General features: G+C 41.4%; 1 protein-coding gene across 15 annotated transcripts in view; it reads left to right on the top strand.

Moving 5' to 3' along the window:
• Positions 1-14,578, top strand: part of KIDINS220 (kinase D interacting substrate 220) — a 116,533-nt gene extending 101,955 nt beyond the window's left edge. For 7 of the 15 annotated variants that reach the window (NM_001348735.2, NM_001348732.2, NM_020738.4 and 4 more), the window contains 3 exons: positions 906-1,004; positions 1,979-2,215; positions 3,677-6,801. In NM_001348735.2, the coding sequence (NP_001335664.1) occupies positions 906-1,004; positions 1,979-2,215; positions 3,677-4,939 (1,599 nt within the window). In that variant the 3' untranslated portion in view covers positions 4,940-6,801. Of the gene's footprint in view, positions 1-905; positions 1,005-1,978; positions 2,216-3,676; positions 6,802-8,391; positions 8,471-8,715; positions 8,773-9,991 lie in introns of those variants that run through there. The other 8 variants (NM_001348741.2, NM_001348738.2, NM_001348739.2 and 5 more) reach the window with 4 other exon arrangements.

The raw sequence follows: 21,226 nt of genomic DNA, 5'->3' as shown, positions 1-21,226 counted from the left end.
ACATTTTATAAAAGCAGTAAGCTACCTATTATTAATAAAGAAAATGCTGTTGTTTCATTTAGGGGAAACTAGAATTACAGGGAACCAAAAGTAATAACTTCCTTTTTTATGATTTTTTTTTTCTTTGAGATGGAGTCCTGCTATGTCACCCAGGCTGGAGTGCAGTGGCGTGGCCATGGCTCACTGCAACCTCCCGCCTCCTGGGTGCAAGCGATCCTCCTGCCTCAGCCTCCCAAGTAGCTGGGACTACAGGCATGTGCCACCACTCCCAGCTAATTTTTGTAGTTTTAATAGAGATGGAATTTCACCATGTTGGCCAGGCTGGTCTCGAACTCCTGACTTTAGGTGATCCACCCACCTCAGCCTCCCAAAGTTCTGGGATTACATGCGTGAGCCACCGCGCCGGGCCTTGTGAATTTAATAGACTGGAAAATTAGTGGGTGGGCATTCTTCATATCTGTATCTAATATAACGGATAAACAAGTTTGCCAGGCCTACTTCATTTAGAACGTTGTTAGTGACCAACACGCTTATGAGAACAGATGTCTTTGTCCCCTCCCAGCAGCTTGTGTTCATGTTCATATTTTCTAAGATTAGAAAACAAAAACTAACAGTTTTGTTGTTGCTCATGACAGCATAGGTAGTTTTGGAAATAGGAGGGTTAGTTCTTCGGTTGGTCCCAGAAAATGCCTAAGACATTTGGGAAAATATGAAGTGGCTGATGTTGTTCAAATTCAGCTTGTTTATTGTATTATTATATGGGATGATAACCTTTTTTTTGGTCAGCCTTTCTGGTCTCTAGAGACTTATTTAAAACTAAATATAAGCATACTTGGCAATCACTAGTAATTCAGAATATTTCACATTCTGTCTTTATACCCATAATTGTTTTAATTTTTACTCAGGCAAACATAAATGGCCGTGTGTTAGCTCAGTGTAACATTGATGAGCTGAAGAAAGAGATGAATATGAATTTTGGAGACTGGCACCTTTTCAGAAGCACAGTAAGATATTTGTAACATTGTGATGTTTACAACATTATTTTATGATAACATTCAAAATTATTTATAACATTGTAGAAAACCAGTATCAATAAGTACTGGCCTAAACTGGTATTTTTTTCATATTTTTTTAAATTTAAAAACTGCTTCTTACACTTATGTGCAATCCTGTGTTGTGGAAAATACACACAGCAGCACTTGGCAGCCTTTGCCTTTTTGGGCATTTCACTCAGAGATTTGGGGAAGAGGCCGCCTGCCGGTTCTTCATGCTTTCACCTGCCTTAACTCTCATCAGGCTCCTCAAAGCCTTCGAGGCCTTGACCTTCAGCATTCATCCTTATAGGGCTTGCATTGCCCAGGTTTAGCAAGAATCCTGTTAAGTCAGTTTACATGTGTGATCACCCTCAGTATTTGATCAAACGCCTCACTAACCCCCCCACCCCCAGGTGATGTCGGCTCACCCTGGCCATCGGCGTACCAAGAGTCCCCCACTCCTGCTGCCTCCCCTTAGTAATGTTCCATCCACGACCCCCACCCTGCCCCTTGGTGGTAGATCCCCACTCATTCGTGCTTATTCCGAGTTGGACTCCCTTCTGTAGTGAGACTGCTTACCCCTGTTGCCATAGTTCTGAATAAAATCTGGACCTACCGCCCTACTCCTGGCCAGCTCTGGTTTTGACACAAGCCAGCTGCATTTTTCTTTGTCCTCAAGTTAAGTTTTAAACAGAAGTAATAATTTAATGGACAAATTGCAGTGTAGTATATGTATGGTGGTTTCTACCATTGCTTCCTTTAGTATTAATGAACATGAAAGATAAGCTGATGTATAAAACAAATTCACTAGAAATTCACTTACCAGAAGTATGCTTTCTCATTGCTGTTGCAATAGCTTTATAATGTTTGGTATTTCTAAATATTTCTAAAGCTTCTAAAATATGATTTGTTAGTGTAAATATTTATGTTTTTCTTCTGTTAAGGTACTAGAAATGAGAAACGCAGAAAGCCACGTGGTCCCTGAAGACCCACGTTTCCTCAGTGAGAGCAGCAGTGGCCCAGCCCCGCACGGTGAGCCTGCTCGCCGCGCTTCCCACAACGAGCTGCCTCACACCGAGCTCTCCAGCCAGACGCCCTACACACTCAACTTCAGCTTCGAAGAGCTGAACACGCTTGGCCTGGATGAAGGTGCCCCTCGTCACAGTAATCTAAGTTGGCAGGTATTTATTGAATGGCATTTTTCATATTATTGAAGAATAAGCACACCGTTCAGTTCACTGAGATTATATGGGCATTTAGACAGTCATTCAGAAAATGCTTACTGAATACCTAAGTGAACAGGAGACAAGATGGAGGGCTCCCTGTACTCAAGGAGCTGCATCCATGTGGAGAGGGGCAGTCAGTGAAACAAACAAAAAAGTAGCTCATGTAGACATTGATGAGAGCTGAGATATCCATCAGGGTCACAGCATGCAGAGTCAATAGGGATTAGGCCACTTGAGCTAGGGTGGTCAGCAAATTCAGCCTTTCTCAGGCGATCTTCCTGTTGCATTCAGTAACTGTTGGTTGAAGTACATCTTCATTGGAACACTGGCCACATAGTGTCCCTTTGAGCACCATCCTTTGGTTTTCCAGGACGCCTGCACACCCTTCACGGATATTGGTTTCTTCTGGTCTGGCATTAGATGTAGGCGCGTTCTTCCTTTGGAGATTCTTAGAAGAAGGAGGCCAGGTGAGGGGTAGGGGTAGGGGCAGGGACAGAGCAAAGTGAGAGATGCAGGAGGAGTAGCGGGAGTGAGGAGAGCGCAGGAGGAAAAGCAGAGCAGGGTGTGGAGAACAACGGGGGAGGAGGCACAGCGGGCGGCAGCGAGTAACACTGAGTGGGCAGGGCAGGGCAGCGGTGAGGAGGAGCAGCGCCTTGGGGAAGGAAGAAAATGTCCTATTTCCTTGAGAAGGTCCCCAACAAATTCACTTTGCTCCTTCTTTTTTGTTTTAGCCTTTGCTCTTGACCCTTCTTAAACTTTCTTGATTCTTCTCCTTCTTTTTCCTCATCTGTACTTTTTGCTCCTTGTTTCTTAGCTATTCTGGGATCTGAAGCAAATTCTAATTCTAAAACTTAATATTGGAAATAAACTTGTAAAACTACTTTATTTTTCTGTTTACTAAGGCCCAACTATTGGCCTCATTGCATTTTATATTTTATCAATGAAGTTGACTTTGGCCTTAAATAAAAGCTAAACGTTTGAAGTTATAAAAACAAGTGCTGTGGCCGAGCATGTGGGACATGCCCATAGTCCCAGCTGCTCAGGAGGCTGAGGCGGGAGGATTGCTTGAGTCCAGTAGTTTGAATCTAGCCTGGGCAACACAGCAAGATCCTGTCTCTTAAAAATGAAATAAAAACCAGAAACAAGTGCTAAGATTATTTGTTAATACAGTGTTTAATCATACTTTTAAATATTAACAATAAACTGATTTTATTAAAATTTATAGAAAGCTTTCTAGTAACAGCATTATAAGGTCACAGCTTTTGTTAATCTGTGTTATGTAGAATTCTTTTAAAAGAATTTGATGTTTTGATGACTTTTTAAATGGTTAGTGTACATATATATTTCCTAAGCTGATGTTTATGCCTTTTTTCTTCTTATTTGAATTTTTAAATTATTTTTTTTCTGTCTTCACAGTCACAAACTCGCAGAACCCCAAGTCTTTCGAGTCTCAATTCCCAGGATTCCAGTATTGAAATTTCAAAGCTTACTGATAAGGTGCAGGCCGAGTATAGAGATGCCTATAGAGAATACATTGCTCAGATGTCCCAGTTAGAAGGGGGCCCCGGGTCTACAACCATTAGTGGCAGATCTTCTCCACATAGCACATATTACATGGGTCAGAGTTCATCAGGGGGCTCTATTCATTCAAACCTAGAGCAAGAAAAGGGGAAGGATAGTGAACCAAAGCCCGATGATGGGAGGAAGTCCTTTCTAATGAAGAGGGGAGATGTTATCGATTATTCATCATCAGGGGTTTCCACCAACGATGCTTCCCCCCTGGATCCTATCACTGAAGAAGATGAAAAATCAGATCAGTCAGGCAGTAAGCTTCTCCCAGGCAAGAAATCTTCCGAAAGGTCAAGCCTCTTCCAGACAGATTTGAAGCTTAAGGGAAGTGGGCTGCGCTATCAAAAACTCCCAAGTGACGAGGATGAATCTGGCACAGAAGAATCAGATAACACTCCACTGCTCAAAGATGACAAAGACAGAAAAGCCGAAGGGAAAGTAGAGAGAGTGCCGAAGTCTCCAGAACACAGTGCTGAGCCGATCAGAACCTTCATTAAAGCCAAAGAGTATTTATCGGATGCGCTCCTTGACAAAAAGGATTCATCGGATTCAGGAGTGAGATCCAGTGAAAGTTCTCCCAATCACTCTCTGCACAATGAAGTGGCGGATGACTCCCAGCTTGAAAAGGCAAATCTCATAGAGCTGGAAGATGACAGTCACAGCGGAAAGCGGGGAATCCCACATAGCCTGAGTGGCCTGCAAGATCCAATTATAGCTCGGATGTCCATTTGTTCAGAAGACAAGAAAAGCCCTTCCGAATGCAGCTTGATAGCCAGCAGCCCTGAAGAAAACTGGCCTGCATGCCAGAAAGCCTACAACCTGAACCGAACTCCCAGCACCGTGACTCTGAACAACAATAGTGCTCCAGCCAACAGAGCCAATCAAAATTTCGATGAGATGGAGGGAATTAGGGAGACTTCTCAAGTCATTTTGAGGCCTAGTTCCAGTCCCAACCCAACCACTATTCAGAATGAGAATCTAAAAAGCATGACACATAAGCGAAGCCAACGTTCAAGTTACACAAGGCTCTCCAAAGATCCTCCGGAGCTCCATGCAGCAGCCTCTTCTGAGAGCACAGGCTTTGGAGAAGAAAGAGAAAGCATTCTTTGAGAAAAACAAGCAAAGGAGAAGAGTGTTACTGTACCTTTATGACAGAATTGTCCTGGATTTTGACTCCATCCACGCCCATCACCTTTCTACATTTTGCTGACAGATAACTAACCGATGATGAGGCCGAGGTAAAAGAGACATCTGCAGTGTGACAGAAGGGAGCATGAGAAGCATGGCTCACCAGCCAGCCTCTGTGGTCTTTGTAATTAGAAGCTTCAGAACTCACTAATACTACTGTACCTTTCATTGGCGCATTACCCCATAAAACTTTTTGAGACGAGGTGAGATCTGAGTATAAAGATAGGTCAGAAGTATTTTAAAGGGCTTAATGTGCCAAAAAGAAAAAAAGCTAGAGACCCTTTTTGCAAACATTTGGTGACCACACATTTGAGGGAAGACGTGGCGTTAGGTGAAGCAGAAGCAAACCCTGCTCTTAGGGGCTCACCTAGGTGAGTGCACAGCCTGTGACGCTACAGGGAGAGGCTGAGTAAACCGAGATCCAGCGTTCTGTATGGCAGGGGTATTGCTTATCACAGAGGTTCTGAAGAGTAGGAAGTACATAATGAAGAGGGCTTTAAAAATTGCCAACAAAGTGAGTCACCAGGGCTGGCAGTAGTGTGACGGGGCTGTCCTGAGCTGTTAGGAGAGTAGATGCGGGGAGGGCTGGTGACCTCCGTGGGTTTATATGTCGGAAACTCTTCTCTCCAAATCCCAGGCCTGGCTTCCAGCACCATCCAGCTGTGCCCAAGAAGCCACCCTGGTCTGTTCTCCAACTCTTTTAAATGGTGCCCAACTTTTCTAAGTGAGCTTAGCAATGAGAAGAAAAAAAAACATGAATTCTTTTTCTGGAAAATCAGGGAGACATGGGTAATAATAGGTACTAATAAATATTTATAGATGAGTGAATGAGGAAATAATTACATCAAAAAGGTCAGTGACAATTGATAAATGACAAGGAAATATTTAATTAGGTAAAACTAAATCATTGCTCTCTATACTAGGATAGACTTTATCTACTTCATCTGTTCCTAAGTCAGCATGTTAGTTCTGGGGAAGGATCATAAGAAAGGAAATACTTTTTAAAAAAAAATTTGGAAACATGTAACAAAGCAAGGGTAAAATATATATATATATCTATATAAGTGCTGTGACTGTAAAAGTGTACTTTCCATTAATTATTAGCCGAGTTAAGAGAATGGTCACATTGAAGTACTGTGTGGACTAGAAATGTACCCTGTCATCATGCAATGAAATATTGTTATCGTTTTAACATAGCTCATTTATGTAGAATGAATTCTGGTGGTTTACCCCAAGTCACAGTTAGGACGGTAGATGGTGAGATCGCAGATGCGCTATTATCTAGATTCAGTGTTACATTTTCGATGTTTATCACTCAGTGGGTTTTTATTAATATGCTGATTAAGTTATTTACTGGGCCAGTCATTGTGCTAAATAGTTGCTCTTTTGTGTTTCATTGCCTTGATGTTTGAGTGTAATCTAGCATTTTAATACAGTGTTTATTTTGCATGATCTTTAACAAATGTTTTAAGCAATTTTAAAAAGGCAGGATGTTATTGACATTATACACTGAAGTCTTAACATTTTAACATTTATAGTGCTTATTTGCAAAATTGTATAATTAGGAATTATTTCAGAGACAATGTTTTCTTTTTCAGGTGAGTAGTTGCCGCGTAATATCATTGGAGTACATTCTTTATACTGTTTGTGAAATTAATACTAGCATATTAAGTGTACAAATAGATTTAGAAAACAATAAAAAATTGCATGCTATTCTGACTCATGAATTTTTATTCACTATGATGATTCACATTTTGATTAAAAATAAAAGTAGTTTGTGTGTTTGTTTTGTCACATGTCTGAAGTTTGTTAAAGACTTTCAGGTTCATGTACAGTCATGCAGTTGGCAGAAGTGTTCTGAACTGCTCCCAACTAGTCTTTTTAAGAGAATGTGGCTCGTAAGTCCCAGTGCCTCAGTGGTGCTTTATGAAGCGTTTGTGCCCACAGCATGCTAGCGCCCAGCAGCGCTGTGCAGTGCGTTCCTGTAGATAGAAAAGGTAGGTTATCCAGAACCTGGAGGATATCAGTTTATTCCATGAACTTCCTGGAAAAGTTTGCTTTTTCATACTGATACCGAAATTGACAAACCAGATGAGTTATTGAGTCATAGACCATCTCCCTTGAACCTGTGCGTCTATGTGTGTGTGTATCTGTTTATAGCTCAGTCTGATTCTCACACATGCAAAACTCTGCTTTAAACTGGGTGCAAAATGATAGAAAAAGAAATTGGTGCTCTAATCTTGCCCTTAGATTCTATCCATTTAGAGTCCTGTGGGGTTTTTTGTGGTTTTGTTTGTTTGTTTGTTTGTTTGTTTGTTTGAGGCAGTCTCTCACTCTGTCATCCAGGCTGAGTGTAGTGGCGCCATCATGGCTCACTGCAGCCTCGACCTCCTGGGCTCAGCCTCCCGAGTAGCTGGGACTATAGGCACGTGCCACCACACCTGGCTAATTTTTTATTTTTTGAGGAGATGCAGCCTTGCTATGTTGCCCAGGTTGGTCTCGAACTCCTGGATACAAGCAATCCTCCCTCCTCGGCCTCCCAAAGGCCTGGGATTATAGGCATGAGCCACCATGCCCAGCCGAGTCTTGTGTTTTATATACCATTTTGCCTTCACTGTAAGCCACAGATAGTTCTGATAATGTATCAAATGTTAAGCCAGATTCATTCACCGTGGCCTTACGGAGTGCTGCCTGTGAGTACAGGCTTTCTGCAGGAGAAGACTGGAAATAAAAGAAGCTGTTTTTCTCTTTCAGTTGAAATAACTTCCGCAGTGCTGGGTATTTAGGGATCAGCTCTCCAACACTGGGAAATTTAAGCATTCATAATAACCAACATTTTCAATATTAAAAGCAAAATGTGTTTATGTGTTATATTTTACTTATATGGGTTTATATAGTGGTCAGAATGATTTTGATTGCCTAGCCAAGTAATTTTAAATGAAACTTACTTGCGAAAATGCTACTCTCGAGACCTTTTTAGAACATTTGCATGTTAGACTGCTGCAGTAAAATACATTTGTAATCATGATTTTTTTCTTACAAATACTAACCATTAGAAGATATTTTTTTGAATGGAAGTAAATCTTATGGGTAAAAGACTAAATTTAAAAGGTGATTTTTAGTTACACCCGGAATTCTCAGCCTATTTAGAAGTATCCCATAGTTTAAAAATCCAGGAATCTCTGAATTCCTGGCTAACTCCTGAGTAAAATCAACCTATCTACCAGGAAAAGCACTAGAAGGCACCGTGCCCCTTCATGGGCGAGTGACTTGAGGGAATACGTGGGTAAAAGGGAAGGTGCCATAAGTTAACTTCTTTGGCCAGCACTCCAGACTGAGCATCGAGCCTCCTTTATTCCCACCTTCTCTTCCAGGCGCACGCCGACACTGGGCGGAAGGGAAGAAACCAGTGGGGATACTGTTCTTTTGCGGGGGCAGCATGAGCAGACTCAGGTGGGCTCTCTGAGACTATCGCGTTTTGAGTTTCCAGGCTGTGGTACTCCCTATCCTTCCCTACCTCAGAATTCTAAGCATAGGCCATAATTATGCAACTGAATTGAAAAATAGAAACGTATAGACAACAGCCAGCACTGGATAGTTTTTTTAATGGCTTATCACAAAGGTTGAGAATCCCTGGTTGAGACTGATTAAATAGAGAATTTACAATCTTACATAATTTTAAACCCTTTCATGCCTAGGAAGAAAATGCTGGCCTTGAGATAGATAGCTCTTCAGAGGATCCAGATTAAACTAAGGTATGTAAAAAATTAGTTTTCGAAGTCAGCTGCAGTCATATGCCACGTTAGGACGTTTTGGCCAACAAAGGACCACATCTGTGACAGTGGGCCCATAAGATTCTAATACTATATTTTTACCGTCCTTTTTCTATGTTTAGACATGCAGATAGCATGGTGACAGTTGCCTGCAGTATTCAGTACCGTGCTGTACAGATGTGTAGCTAGGAGCAGTAGGTTATGGCACACAGCCTAGGTGTGTAGTGGGTGCCACCATCTAGGTCTGTTTAAGTGTGCTCTGTGATGCTCCCACGACAAAATCGTCCAACAGCGCATTTCTCAGAATGTACCCCTGTCGTCAACTGATGCATGGCTGTAATTTTAAGCCAGCTGTTCAAAAAAGTTCTCACCAATTAGAGAATTTATATTCTCACCACTTTAACAAACGGAGTTAAGTAAGAAACCTCTAAAATGGTTGCTAGAAATTAAATATTGTCACCGACCTGGTCAAAACCTTTTAAGTAAAATGATTAGCCAATCACAGCCTTGGCTTACACTGGCATCAGAGTCTGGTGTGTGTCGCACACACGTGCTGTAGGTGGAATGTTTCATGACGAGGACTTTCTGGAACTCAGAAGCCCTTTTTGAGTGGGGCCCGGGTAGCTGTAGGATGGGCAGATCTGAATTCCCAGTACAGTGTGGCATTTTGAAAAAGAAAGAATGTATAAGAATAAAAGGGTCAGTCAAGAAGTAGGAGCAATTATTACCCAACTATTCGAAGGATGACCCTTTAAAAATCAATAAAAACCTATCTGGAGTGAAAGACCAACTTAAATGAGCAATAGCATGAATTACGTAATATAAAGACAAGCGTTCCTGCTTCAAAGCACACGAAATATTCTGAGTCTGCCTGCGGAGCTTCAGCTGCAGTCATCTTTTTACCAAGATTGCACGTAAGTCCATTTTCTTAGGTTAAATGCTTTTTGTAGTGTTATTTACACTAGTGGTATGTGCTAGGAACCCTTTCTTCGTTTTTCTGAGATTTGACAGAACATGGAATAACATATCAAACTGAATTCTTAGAACGTGAGTAAATGAAACTTTCCTTTTAGAAGCAATGTAGAATTACATGCTCCATATTATTCAAATTAAGAAGCTTTTGAAATAATACCACCTTGATTATCCATGATCATTTTCTAATTTTAACATTTTGTACACATTTACCTCGTTTTCTTTCAAGGCAACAGGCGCTGTAGATCTTAGTACCCTGCCCATAGACCCAAGCACTTTTCTCATTTCTTCTGACAGTTCGAGTCACTTCTCACAGTTGACTTCCTCACCAAATAATAAGGGGGTGAAGAAGACTCGGCCTACCTACTACTCAGTAATCCTGCTGTCCAGTCGACTGGAGAAGAGAGATTTGTTCACCTCTACTAGTTTTATTTGTTCTTAGTAGTTGTAGAATTTAAATTGGTTTTAATGAAATGTTCCTTTTATGAAATTTTAAATAAAAGCCATTTAGTGTATATTTAGTATAGCAAGAAGCATGTGAATAAGCTCCATATAACCTGACATTGCGCATCTTACAGCATCCTCTTGGTCAGATGTCTAATAAAAAGATTGTTATTTTCAAATTTATCATAGTTCCTGCAACTTGCACTTTTTAAAGCTGTGTTTGTGAGAATTTATAGACTGCATATCGCTATACTTGATGGAAATTAAACTATTTTTATTTTGAAAGAAGTTAATTTATATTTTAAGTTCTGTATGTTTTTCTCCTTTTACCTGAGTTCTTTTCAGTCATTTTGTGTTGTTAAGTTTTTTTTAGGTTGTCATATATTTTTCTTTTTTAGGTTACCATCCTAGTTTACTGTAAAACATTTCTTAGAGCAATAGATTGGGAAAGAGCCTCGAGATATCTTTTAGACCAAATCCTAGATCTCAGAAAGCCAGTGGACATTCAGTAAATACTTGTTGGCCAGGTGCCGTGGCTCACGCCTATAATCCCAGCACTTCAGGAGGCCAAGGTGGGAGGATGGCTTGAGCCCAGAAGTTCAAGACCAGCCTGGGTAACATAATGGGATTCCATCTCTACAAAAATAAAAATAAAAAAATTAGCCAGGAATGGTGGTGTGCACCTGTAGTCCCAGCTATTCGGGAGGCTGAGGTAGGAGGATTCCCTGAGCCTGAGAGGTTGAGGATGCAGTGAGTGGTGATCACACTACTGCACTCCAGCCTGGGTTACAGGGTGAGGCCCTGTCTCAAATAAATAAATAATTAAAACTTGTTAAGTGAATGAATAAACTAGGGGGGCAACTCTGAGAGTGTCTGCCCACAAATCCTACACAGTGCCTTCAAATTACTGGGTGCAGTGGCTCACACCTGTAATCCCAGCACTTTGGGAGTCTGAGATGGGCAGATCATCTGAGGTCAGGAGTTCAAGACCAACCTAGCCAACATGGTGAAACCCCGTCTCTACTAAAATACAAAAATTAGGCGGGCGTGGTGGCAGGTGTCTATGGCCCCAGCTACTCAGGAGGCTGAGGCAAGAGAAGCACTTGAACGTGGGAGACGGAGGTTGCAGTGAGCCGAGATCGCACCGCTGCACTCCAACCTGGGCGACAGAGTGAGACTCCGTCTCATAAAATACTGAATGTAAATCCCTTAACATTGTGCTGTTGTGCCACAGCTCCTTACAGGTCCCACCTTCCCTCTCACTTTCTGCCCACCCTGTCACCTGCCTGGCCCCTGTAAGCTTTTCTGCTGTGCTTTTGGAAATCTTTCAACCACAATAGCATGCTTTGTTGCAAACTCTTAGGGACCTAAGCCAGGCATGGTGGCATGCACTTGTAATCCCAGCTACTTGGGGAGGCTGAGGCGGGAGGATCACTTGAGCCCAGGAGTTCAAGACCAGCCTGGGCAACATAGCGAGAACATGTCTCAAAAAGGAAAAAAATGGGGGAAAAAACCCTCCCAGGGACAGATATCCACAGCCAGTCTTGATAAGCTCCATCATTTTAAAGTGCAAGGCGGTGCCTCCCATGTGGATGATTATTTAATCCTCTTGTACTTTGTTTAGTCCTTTGTGGAAATGCCCATCTTATAAATTAATAGAATTCTAGAATCTAATTAAAATGGTTCAACTCTACATTTTACTTTAGGATAATATCAGGACCATCACAGAATGTCTGAGATGTGGATTTACCCTATCTGTAGCTCACTTCTTCAACCATTCTTTTAGCAAGGCTAGTTATCTTCAGTGACAACCCCTTGCTGCCCTCTACTATCTCCTCCCTCAGATGGACTACTCTGATTAAGCTTGAGCTAGAATAAGCATGTTATCCCGGGATTTCATATGGAATATTTTATACATGAGTGAGCCATTATGAGTTGTTTGAAAATTTATTATGTTGAGGGAGGGTAACCGCTGTAACAACCATCACCAAATCTAATCGACTGAATACATTTGACGTTTATTTCTTGTTCACCTGACAGTTCAGTGTTACCTAAATTTACATGAAGACCCAGAGGCCCACGCTCCTTCATTTTGGGCTCCACCGACCTCCAAGGTTTCAGGGCCCTCTGCCCCGCCTTCTGCACCCACAGGGGAAGAGAGTGGAGGATGCACACGCCCAGGCCTGGAAGTGACGCATGTGGCTTCCCCGTCCACAGACTTCACCCACAGTCCATTGGCCTTCTTAAGTCATGGACTCCTGCTGAGCTGCCAGGGTGCATGGGAAATCCATGTGACTGTGTGCCCTGGAGGAAGGGGAGCGTTTCGGTGAGCACACAGGAGTCTTTGCCACTAGACGCTGATGAGGATTCCCCACAGGCGATGAAGCATGGAGACTCATCTTGTAACAAACAGATGAGTTGTTGACATCTCTTAAGTTTACTTTGTGTGCAGTTTTTATTCAGATAGGAAAGGCTGTTAAAATCTTAACACCTAACTGGAAGAAGGGTTTTAGAGAAGTGTGGTTTTCAGTAAGCCAGTTCTTTCCACAATCCAAGAAACGAAATAAATTTCCAGCATGGAGCAGTTGGCAGGTAAGGTTTTTGTTGTGGTCTCGCCCAGGCTTGAGTGTAACCGGTGTGGTCATAGCTCACTACATTCTCAAACTCCTGGCCTTAAGTCATCCTCCTGCCTCAGCCTCCCAAAGGCAAGTAAGGTTAAGAATAGGGGAAAGGTGAAGTTTCACAGCTTTTCTAGAATTCTTTTTATTCAAGGGACTCTCAGATCATCAAACCCACCCAGAATCTGCTCAATTTTCAAGATTTGCTTATAAATATTTATAATATAAACACTCAATTGCTATCTGTTTTTTAGGTTCTCCTCTCTCTCCCAGAACAGTGGTAACAGGAACTCTTGGGGGCTTCTCCCTGTTCTTGCAGATGTGGCAGGATGTGTTCCTGGGGGGCTCCCATGCCAGTCCACACCCTCTGTGGTGTAAGCAGGGATTGGTAATTAATGAGATGCTAAACCCTCCAGAAGTGAGCGCTCATGTCCCAGAAACACATCTTCCACCTCAGCAGCCAGTGGGAAAACTAGACTTTGTGTCTGCATATTTGTTCTTAAACACACTCTTCTGCAGTCTAACTCTGCTGACCACTTTCCAGTTTGCTCATATCAGAATTTCTTCGGTTCTAAGATGCATATTTTCTTTTTGTATTCTGACTTGTTAGAAATTAGAATATGTCTTGCAGTCAATAAAATCTATGACAACATTTTTTTTTCTTAATGGTTCCTAAAACTCCTGTAGTTGATGGTGTCTTGCTTAGGTTTAATGAAAGAGATTTTAATATATGGCGTGGTTATGTGGAGTTGTATCTCTATCAGTATTAATGGGCTCGGGATGATTTATATTCAACTGAACCCCCAAATTCAACATTTTGTGTTGAATATTTATTTTATCAGTTATTCTTTATCCTGTACTCATTTTGGATACTTACTAAAGTATTGTATGTATTTGTTATAATAAAATGGCTTGCCGTGTTTGAACACACTGTGTATCTGACAATGTTCTAAGACCTAATTTGATCTTCATGACAACTGCATAAAATAGTTACTATTATTCTCAATTCACAAATGAGAAAGTGAGACACAGAGATGCTAAGGAATTGCCCAAAGTCACACAGCTACTGAGTGGCAGAGCCAGGGTCTGGGCCCAGCCAGTGTGGCTCCAGGTGCCGCCCACTCTTGACGTGATACTTACCGTCAATGCTCCTTACCAGTTAGGGATGAGCTGATTCTCATATTTTTCCAAGATACATTTTAATTTTAGCTTTATTTGCTGTATCATCATCATCAGTATCATCATCATCATCAGTTTTCTTGTTTTAAAATAGGGTTTGGAGTCTCTTCAAGGCTTTCTGTTTTGGAAAAGTAAAACTTAAAAATCTATAGCCATGTGAATTATACTTATGGAGAAAAAGAGTCTTGTTTTATTAACATCAGACATCTTTGTTCCTACTAATTATTTTGGAGTAATGTTCAGTATCGGGCTAATGATCGATGGATATCACTCATCCAATTATGATGCATGGATTAGACCACGGCCTTAAACTTTGTACATAGTGTTGAATAAATTCATCTTATTTGCAGTCTTATTGTCATCTAGCTTTGATACACTTGCCCTTTCATATGTCTCTTGTCACTATTCTGTGTAAGATTATAATCCCAAATACCACTATATGTATTTTTCTTCATATTCTATTATTGAACAGTATTAATGCTTAATGTTAATATATAAGTAATATATACATTTTAAAAATTATTACTGCTGTAGAGTTTTTTTTTTAAATGATTGTGGTCTCATAAGGAAAAAAGAAAATAGGCAAAACAGGAGCCCTTTTCCCTTTCATAACGACAAGTCAGTCACCAAAGCCAAAAGCCAATAAATGCAACAGTAACAGTGGACAGTGGGTTGAAATGGCTGGTGACATTTCTGTGTTATGTAACCAGCTGCCTACCGATTGGAGTGCTCGCTGCAAGCCAGACACTGCTATCAGCATTTCACATGGATTAACTCATTAAATCCTAATAACCCTACACAGTGAATACTGTTACTTTCCCTAGTTTACAAATAAGGAGGCTAAGATGCAGAAAATGTATAACTTTTACACAATAGCATATTTGATTTTTATAACTGTCCTTTAAACCATTGACTATTTTTATCTATTTTTGAGAAAACTGAAGATTCAAGAGTTGGAGACCTCTCTCTCCCCCAAAGCCACCCAGCTAGTGACAGAACAAAAACACCAACTCCAGTTGTCTAAGTCCAGATCTGATGCATTTTCCACGCACACCGCGGTACCGGCTTCCCCCAGTGTCCACCACTCTCGGCTGCGCAGGCCTGGGCAGCATTTGTCTCCATCTTCCCTCGTAGACAAGGTTGGTGGAGAGCATAAAACACGTGCTCAGCCAAGGCAGCCCCAGCTTTCCCCGGCTCCTTCCTCTTGGCTCTTCCTTCGAGTCACAGCAGCCTCACTGGTAGACAGGAACGGAGTCCGGATCTGCAGGTGATCCTGGTCCAGGAACTCATTGGATCTTTGAACCCTTGTCTCTCTCAAAATTCCTGTCGGGCTACACCATCCTCACTGATGGGATCTCGCAAACTGAACTCTGCCTTTTGGTGTAAGCATAACTAATTTGAAATAGATTTAAACTGGTGCTGTGTGTGTGTGTGTGTGTGTGTGTGTGTGTGTGTGTCTGTGCGTTTAAATTTCCCATTGTCAGGTAGCTGATTTGATCAAACCCATCTCTGAATTGGTGAGTTCTTTGGTTAATAAATTGTAAGTTGAAAGAACAGCTGAGTCACACGGCTTGCGTTATGGGCCTGACTCTGTTATTTATGAAATGGCCATTGACTTTTCAGTCTCAGTTTATCTTTTAAAAATACAAATGATGAAGGAACAAGAATTATCCCTTTGAAAACTGGTTCTACCTCCCCTGTGCTTATTGCGTGTTAGTCACTTCGCAAATATCAGCTCCCGAATCTGTAGGGAGACAAGGCTTCAAAACCTTCCCCAATGCTTCGCAGCTGGTACATGTTAGAACAGGGATTTGAACTCACACCAGATGCCAAAGCCAATTAATATATCTCCTGCTGTGCCTTCTGCCTCTCCAGCAATGTAGATGAACTCAGTTTCCAGGCTCCAGGGGGTGTTAAAGAGACAGTCACAGGCATGTGGAGTAAGAAGAAAATGCTGCAGTCATTTCATCCAGCTCCCTCATGCTTGCCGATGAGGAAATCATGAAGTGCTTCTATCATTACAAATGATACACAGGAGGGTTGCATTCATCCCACTTTTGGCTGCATTTGATCTCTTCCTCTGGGTCATCTTCTGGCTAGCAGAATACAGCTTCTTGTCATTAGACTTCTTGGGTGCTAATATTCCTTGTTTTTTAGACACTTAAACTCATTTCTTTTTTTTCTTTTTTTTTTTTTAAGACAAGTTCACCCTGTTGCCCAGGCTGGAGTGTAGTGGCGCCATATCGGCTCACTGCAACCTCCATCTCCTGGGTTCAAGTGATTATCTTGCCTCAGCCTCCCAAGTAGCTGGGATTACAGGTGTGAGCCACCACACCCGGCCCTCATTTCTTATGAAATTAGATGTGAGTTATCAAGTTTAACTGCATATCTGGAATGGCACTATACCCATTTTTCAGAAAATATCCTTTTCTCTAAAGAGTCCCAGGATGTCAAAAATGCTCAGTGTCTTGACCTATTTTCCAAAAAAAGTTTGCATTTCTCATAGGGAAACTATTCTATGATTAAAAAAGAATTGATGATCTCTTAAAGTTATTTCAAAGTACACATTTTTGAATTGAGAGCACAGGTAATTCATTCTTATCACAAAATATTTAAAATGCCATGTGTGTGTATTGTGAAGAGTTTTAAGTTGCTTTGGGAATACAGCATTTGCATCTTGTATTTTTGATAGTTTAACAAGACATCAAAGCTGCATTGCAGATGTCTCAGCAAAAATATTTCCATTAATAAGCAGTTCCTAGGGTTAGCAAATTAACATGATCACAAATAGCATGTCAGAAATTTGTATCCCATGTTTATGGAAGTACTTCTCTAACATTTTCCAATTAGTTTATTTTTAACCTCTTTTTTTTAGAAGATTAATTTTCTTTTAAAGATTTTATCGATTGGAAGTTACAAAGTTCTTGATATTTCAAATATAATTCAAACTCATCGGTTCTGTTTTGTTTAGATTTTTTGAATAGTATAAATTTAGTTACAAACTGCATTAGAATATTATGATTCCAGAAATTATATGCGAAAGGCAACTAACTCTTTTTCAGCCTTGGAGTTGGTCATTAAAAACACTGCTCTAGGTTGGGAGGGTGGCTCAGGCCTGTAACTCCAGAACTTTGGGAGGTCAAGGTGGGAGTATGGCTTGAGCACAGGAGTTTGGGACCAGCCTGGGCAATATAGTGAGACCCTTCCTCTACAAAAAAGTAAAAATAAAATTAGCTGGACATGGTGTCATACAGCTGAAGTCCCAGCTACTTGGGAGGCTGAGGTGGGAGGATCACTTGAGACCAGGAGTTTGAAGTTGCAGTGAGCTGTGATCACATCACTGCACTCCAGCCTGTGTGACAGAGTAAGACTCTGTCCCAAACAAAACCAAAAACTGTTCTAAATATCATAATTAATTTAATATTTTCTATAATTGAAAACATTGTTAGATTAAGATTTATTCTATTTTAGCTGTTCTGCTTTATATTTTTTTACATAAAATCTACCTTGTTAGTAGCTGTATTGAGGTTCTCCAGTGACAGAGAAACAATAAAATGTAGATAGACAGACAGACAGACAGATAGATACCTAAGAGGAGATTTATTATGAGAATTGGCTTTTGTAATTATGGAAGCTGAGAGGTCCCACAATCTACTGTCTGCAAGCTGGAGAGCCAGGAAAGCTGGTGATGTCACTCAGCCCAAGTCTGAAGCCCTGAGAAATGGAAGGTGAGGGAAATGCGGCGGGCGGGGAAGCTGGTGTGTGAGTCCTGGAGTCTGAAGCCTTGAGAACCAGGAGTTCTGAGGTCGAAGGGCAGCAGATGATGACAGTCCCAGCTCAAGAAGGGAGAGAATTCACCCTTCCTCCACCTTTTTGTCCTATTTGGGCCTCGGCGGATCAGGTGATACCCACCCACGCTGGCAAACGTGCATCTTCCTCACTCAGTCCGCTCATGAAAACTCTGACCTCTTCTGGAAACACTCTCACAGACACACCCAGAAATACTGTTTTACCAACTGTCTGGGCATACCTTGCCCAGTCAAGTTGACACATAAAATTAACCCTCACAATATCCATTCACAGATGAGGAAAGTGTGCTAGTGTTTTCTGAAACAAAGGCAGGCATAATTCAACTAAACAAAAAGACCAAGTGGAGGGCTGGCATTGCCCAGGAACACAGACAATGGAATCCATCGCAATGGGAGGGAGGCAGAATACATGGGCATAGATGTCAGAGGAAAGCAACACTTTCCACACCCAAAACTACTTTAAGTGTAATACAATTAAAACAAGTCAGTTTTGGGGCATGTACATCATACCTCAACACAACTGTTTAAAAATATTTAAAATATTATTTTATTTAGTATTATTGAAAATTTTATGAACTTTATTTTACATGAAGGAGAAGAAGAAAAATTTTCCTCATAAACCCATAAACAGGGAGATAGGCAAATACAGGAGAGTGGCTGGGGTGAGAAGGCAGTCATCCTATCTGAGCTCAACTGAACATAAAATGACAGTAACCCGGATGGTGTGGGACTGCCTTAAAAGTAGACACGCAGATCAATAGAACAGAACAAAGACCCAAAATGTCAACCCCCAAATACATTTTGACAAAGGCACAAAGCAATTAAATGGATGGATAAAGGATAGTATTTTCAGCTATCCTTTATATGGATAAATGGTGCTAGAACAATTGGATGTCTATATGTTCTCCCCCATCCCCAAGAGATCCTATAGATCTTAAACCTTACACAAAAATTAACTCAAAGAATCATAGATCTACATGTAAAATGCAAAACTGTAAAACGCCTAGAAGAAAACATCAGAAAAAATCTACATGACCTTGGGTTTCATGGGGAGTTTTACGTGCTATACCTAAAGCATAATCCATAAAACACGGTCATGGGCAAACATCTCAGTGCTATAAATCTCGAGATACCCAGCAAGCCCGAGAGAGAAGCACAAAGATGAATGGAGATAAAAAGGAAAAGAGGATGAAGAAAGTTGATGTCATCAAATGAGAAGGGGAGCAGCCTCTACAAGCCCCCTTTCCCATCAAATCGAGAATGACTTCCACCCAAGCAAGCCAAATCCTTGGCTTCCTGCAAGCCCAGCCTCATGAGACCTTTTCAGGCTACTTTGATCCTATTTTCCTGCTTATTTAAAAAAATTCTGCTGCAATTAAAGTCACTAACACATAATCACACACTTGATTATACTCTGCCCTCTTGTATTAGCTTCTAATTTTACATAAGTGTTGTTTGCCAGAAATTTTGAAATTCTTTCATTTAGGATTTATGTTTCCATTGTTTTTAATCCCCCAAAGTGCAAAGCTCAGTACTCAGGCACCTGCAAGGAAAATACACACACTTTAAAAATGGAAGTGTATCAGTCTATTCTCACTCTGCTATAAGGACATAGCAGAGACTGGGTAATTTATAAAGGAAACAGGTTTAATTGACTCACAGTTCTGCAGGGCTGGGGAGGCCTCAGGAAACTTATGATCATGACAGAAGGGGAAGCAAACATGTCCTTCTTCACAAGGCGGCAGGAAAGAGAAGAATGAGTGCCCAGTGAAGGGGAAAGCCCCTTATAAAACTAACAGATCCCGTGAGAACTCACTCACTATCATGAGAACAGCATAGGGGAACCACTTCCATGATTCAATTGTTTCCCACTGGGTCCCTCCCACAACATGTGGGGATTATGGGAACTACAATTCAAGATGAGATTTGCATGGGAACACAGCCAAACCATATCAGGAAGAAAGAAAACTGAATAGAAAGGAATCTAGAATAGGAGATGGGAAGGAAGGAAAAGATTTTTGGGCTCTCATGCCATTGGAGAGGCCCCTCCATGAGGCCACAGGCTTCCAATCTGCAGAGCTGCCTTTTGTGAGACGAAGCACCAGTACTGCATGACCTATTTGTTAATTTCTAAATGGATTCCTTTTAGAAAGCAGGAGAGATAGTCATAAGAAGACACCTAGCTTTTTTAAATACATTCTTTAAATAAAAATAATTTTAACAAAGGCAAGTTATTTAAGTTCTTCTCTGTAGCCAGGGGTCAAGTTTAAAGCACAGGTGGAAAGAAGTACTTAGTATTTTTTCCTTTAAATTATTTTATAACCCCTATTATGTTCCAGAAATACAAAATAAATCAATTAATAGGTTTGAGGTAGGGAGAAAATTCACATAAGTCTGAACCAAGAGGAGAGGAGATCATAGCAAGGAGAGAGTAGAAAGTTGGTTGGTTAGAAAAACAAGGATCACCTTACAGCTCCTCCAGAGAAGTCTTCATAGTGTCATCTTACCTTGGGGCTTTCTTGATTGTATTGTGAAATTCTAGAACAGCATACATAACTATCACAAAAATTTTTAAAAAATCAAAAGTCTCATCTTTTATAAGTGACTTTTAGATTCCTTATTTTTTTTTTTTTTTTAAGGCAGGATCTCGCTCTGTCACCCAGGCTGGAGTGTGGTTGTGCAATCACAGCTCACTGCAGCCTCGTACTCCCGGGGTCCTGCCTCAGCCCCTCCCAAGTAGCTGAGACCACAGGTGTATGCCACCACACCCAGCTAATTTTTAAATTTTTGTCGAGACCAAGGTCTCACTTTGTTACTCAGGCTGGTCTCAAACTTCTGGGCTTAAGCAATCCTTCCACCTCGGCCTCCCAAAATGCTGGGATTATAAGCATGAGCTACTGGGCCTGGCCAGCTTTTCAATGATTTCTGCCATTACTCCCCTTCCCCTCCTTTACCAGTAGTGAGCATGAACATAAAGCATGGCCTGGAATTCGGTGTGGTGGTTGATTTTACACGTCAGCTTGACTGGGCCATGGGGTGCCCAGACATTGATTCAGATGTTATCCTGGGTGTGTCTGTGAGGGGTTTCTGAATGAAGTTAACATTGGAATGAGGACCGAGTGAAGCGGATTGCCTTCCTTTGCAGGGGTGGGCCTCATCCAATCGATGGAAGACCTGACTAGAACATACAGACTGAGTAAGAGGGAACTCCTTCCTGCCTGCTGAGCTGGGACATTGGTTTTTCTGGCCTTCGGACTTGGATTAAAATATTGGCTCTTCTTGGGTCTCGAGCCTGCCAGCTTTCAGACTGGAGGGGACACCACTGACGGTCCTGGTTCTCAGGCCTTCGAGTCCGGCTGGAACTCCACATCAGCTCCCCTGGGGCCCAGCTTGCTGGCTGCAGACGCTGGGACT

Source organism: Homo sapiens, chromosome 2, assembly GCF_000001405.40.
Source record: "Homo sapiens chromosome 2, GRCh38.p14 Primary Assembly".
NCBI lineage: Eukaryota > Metazoa > Chordata > Mammalia > Primates > Hominidae > Homo > Homo sapiens.
Note: the sequence above shows the minus strand (reverse complement) of the source record. Positions and strands in the feature narration are given on the sequence as shown.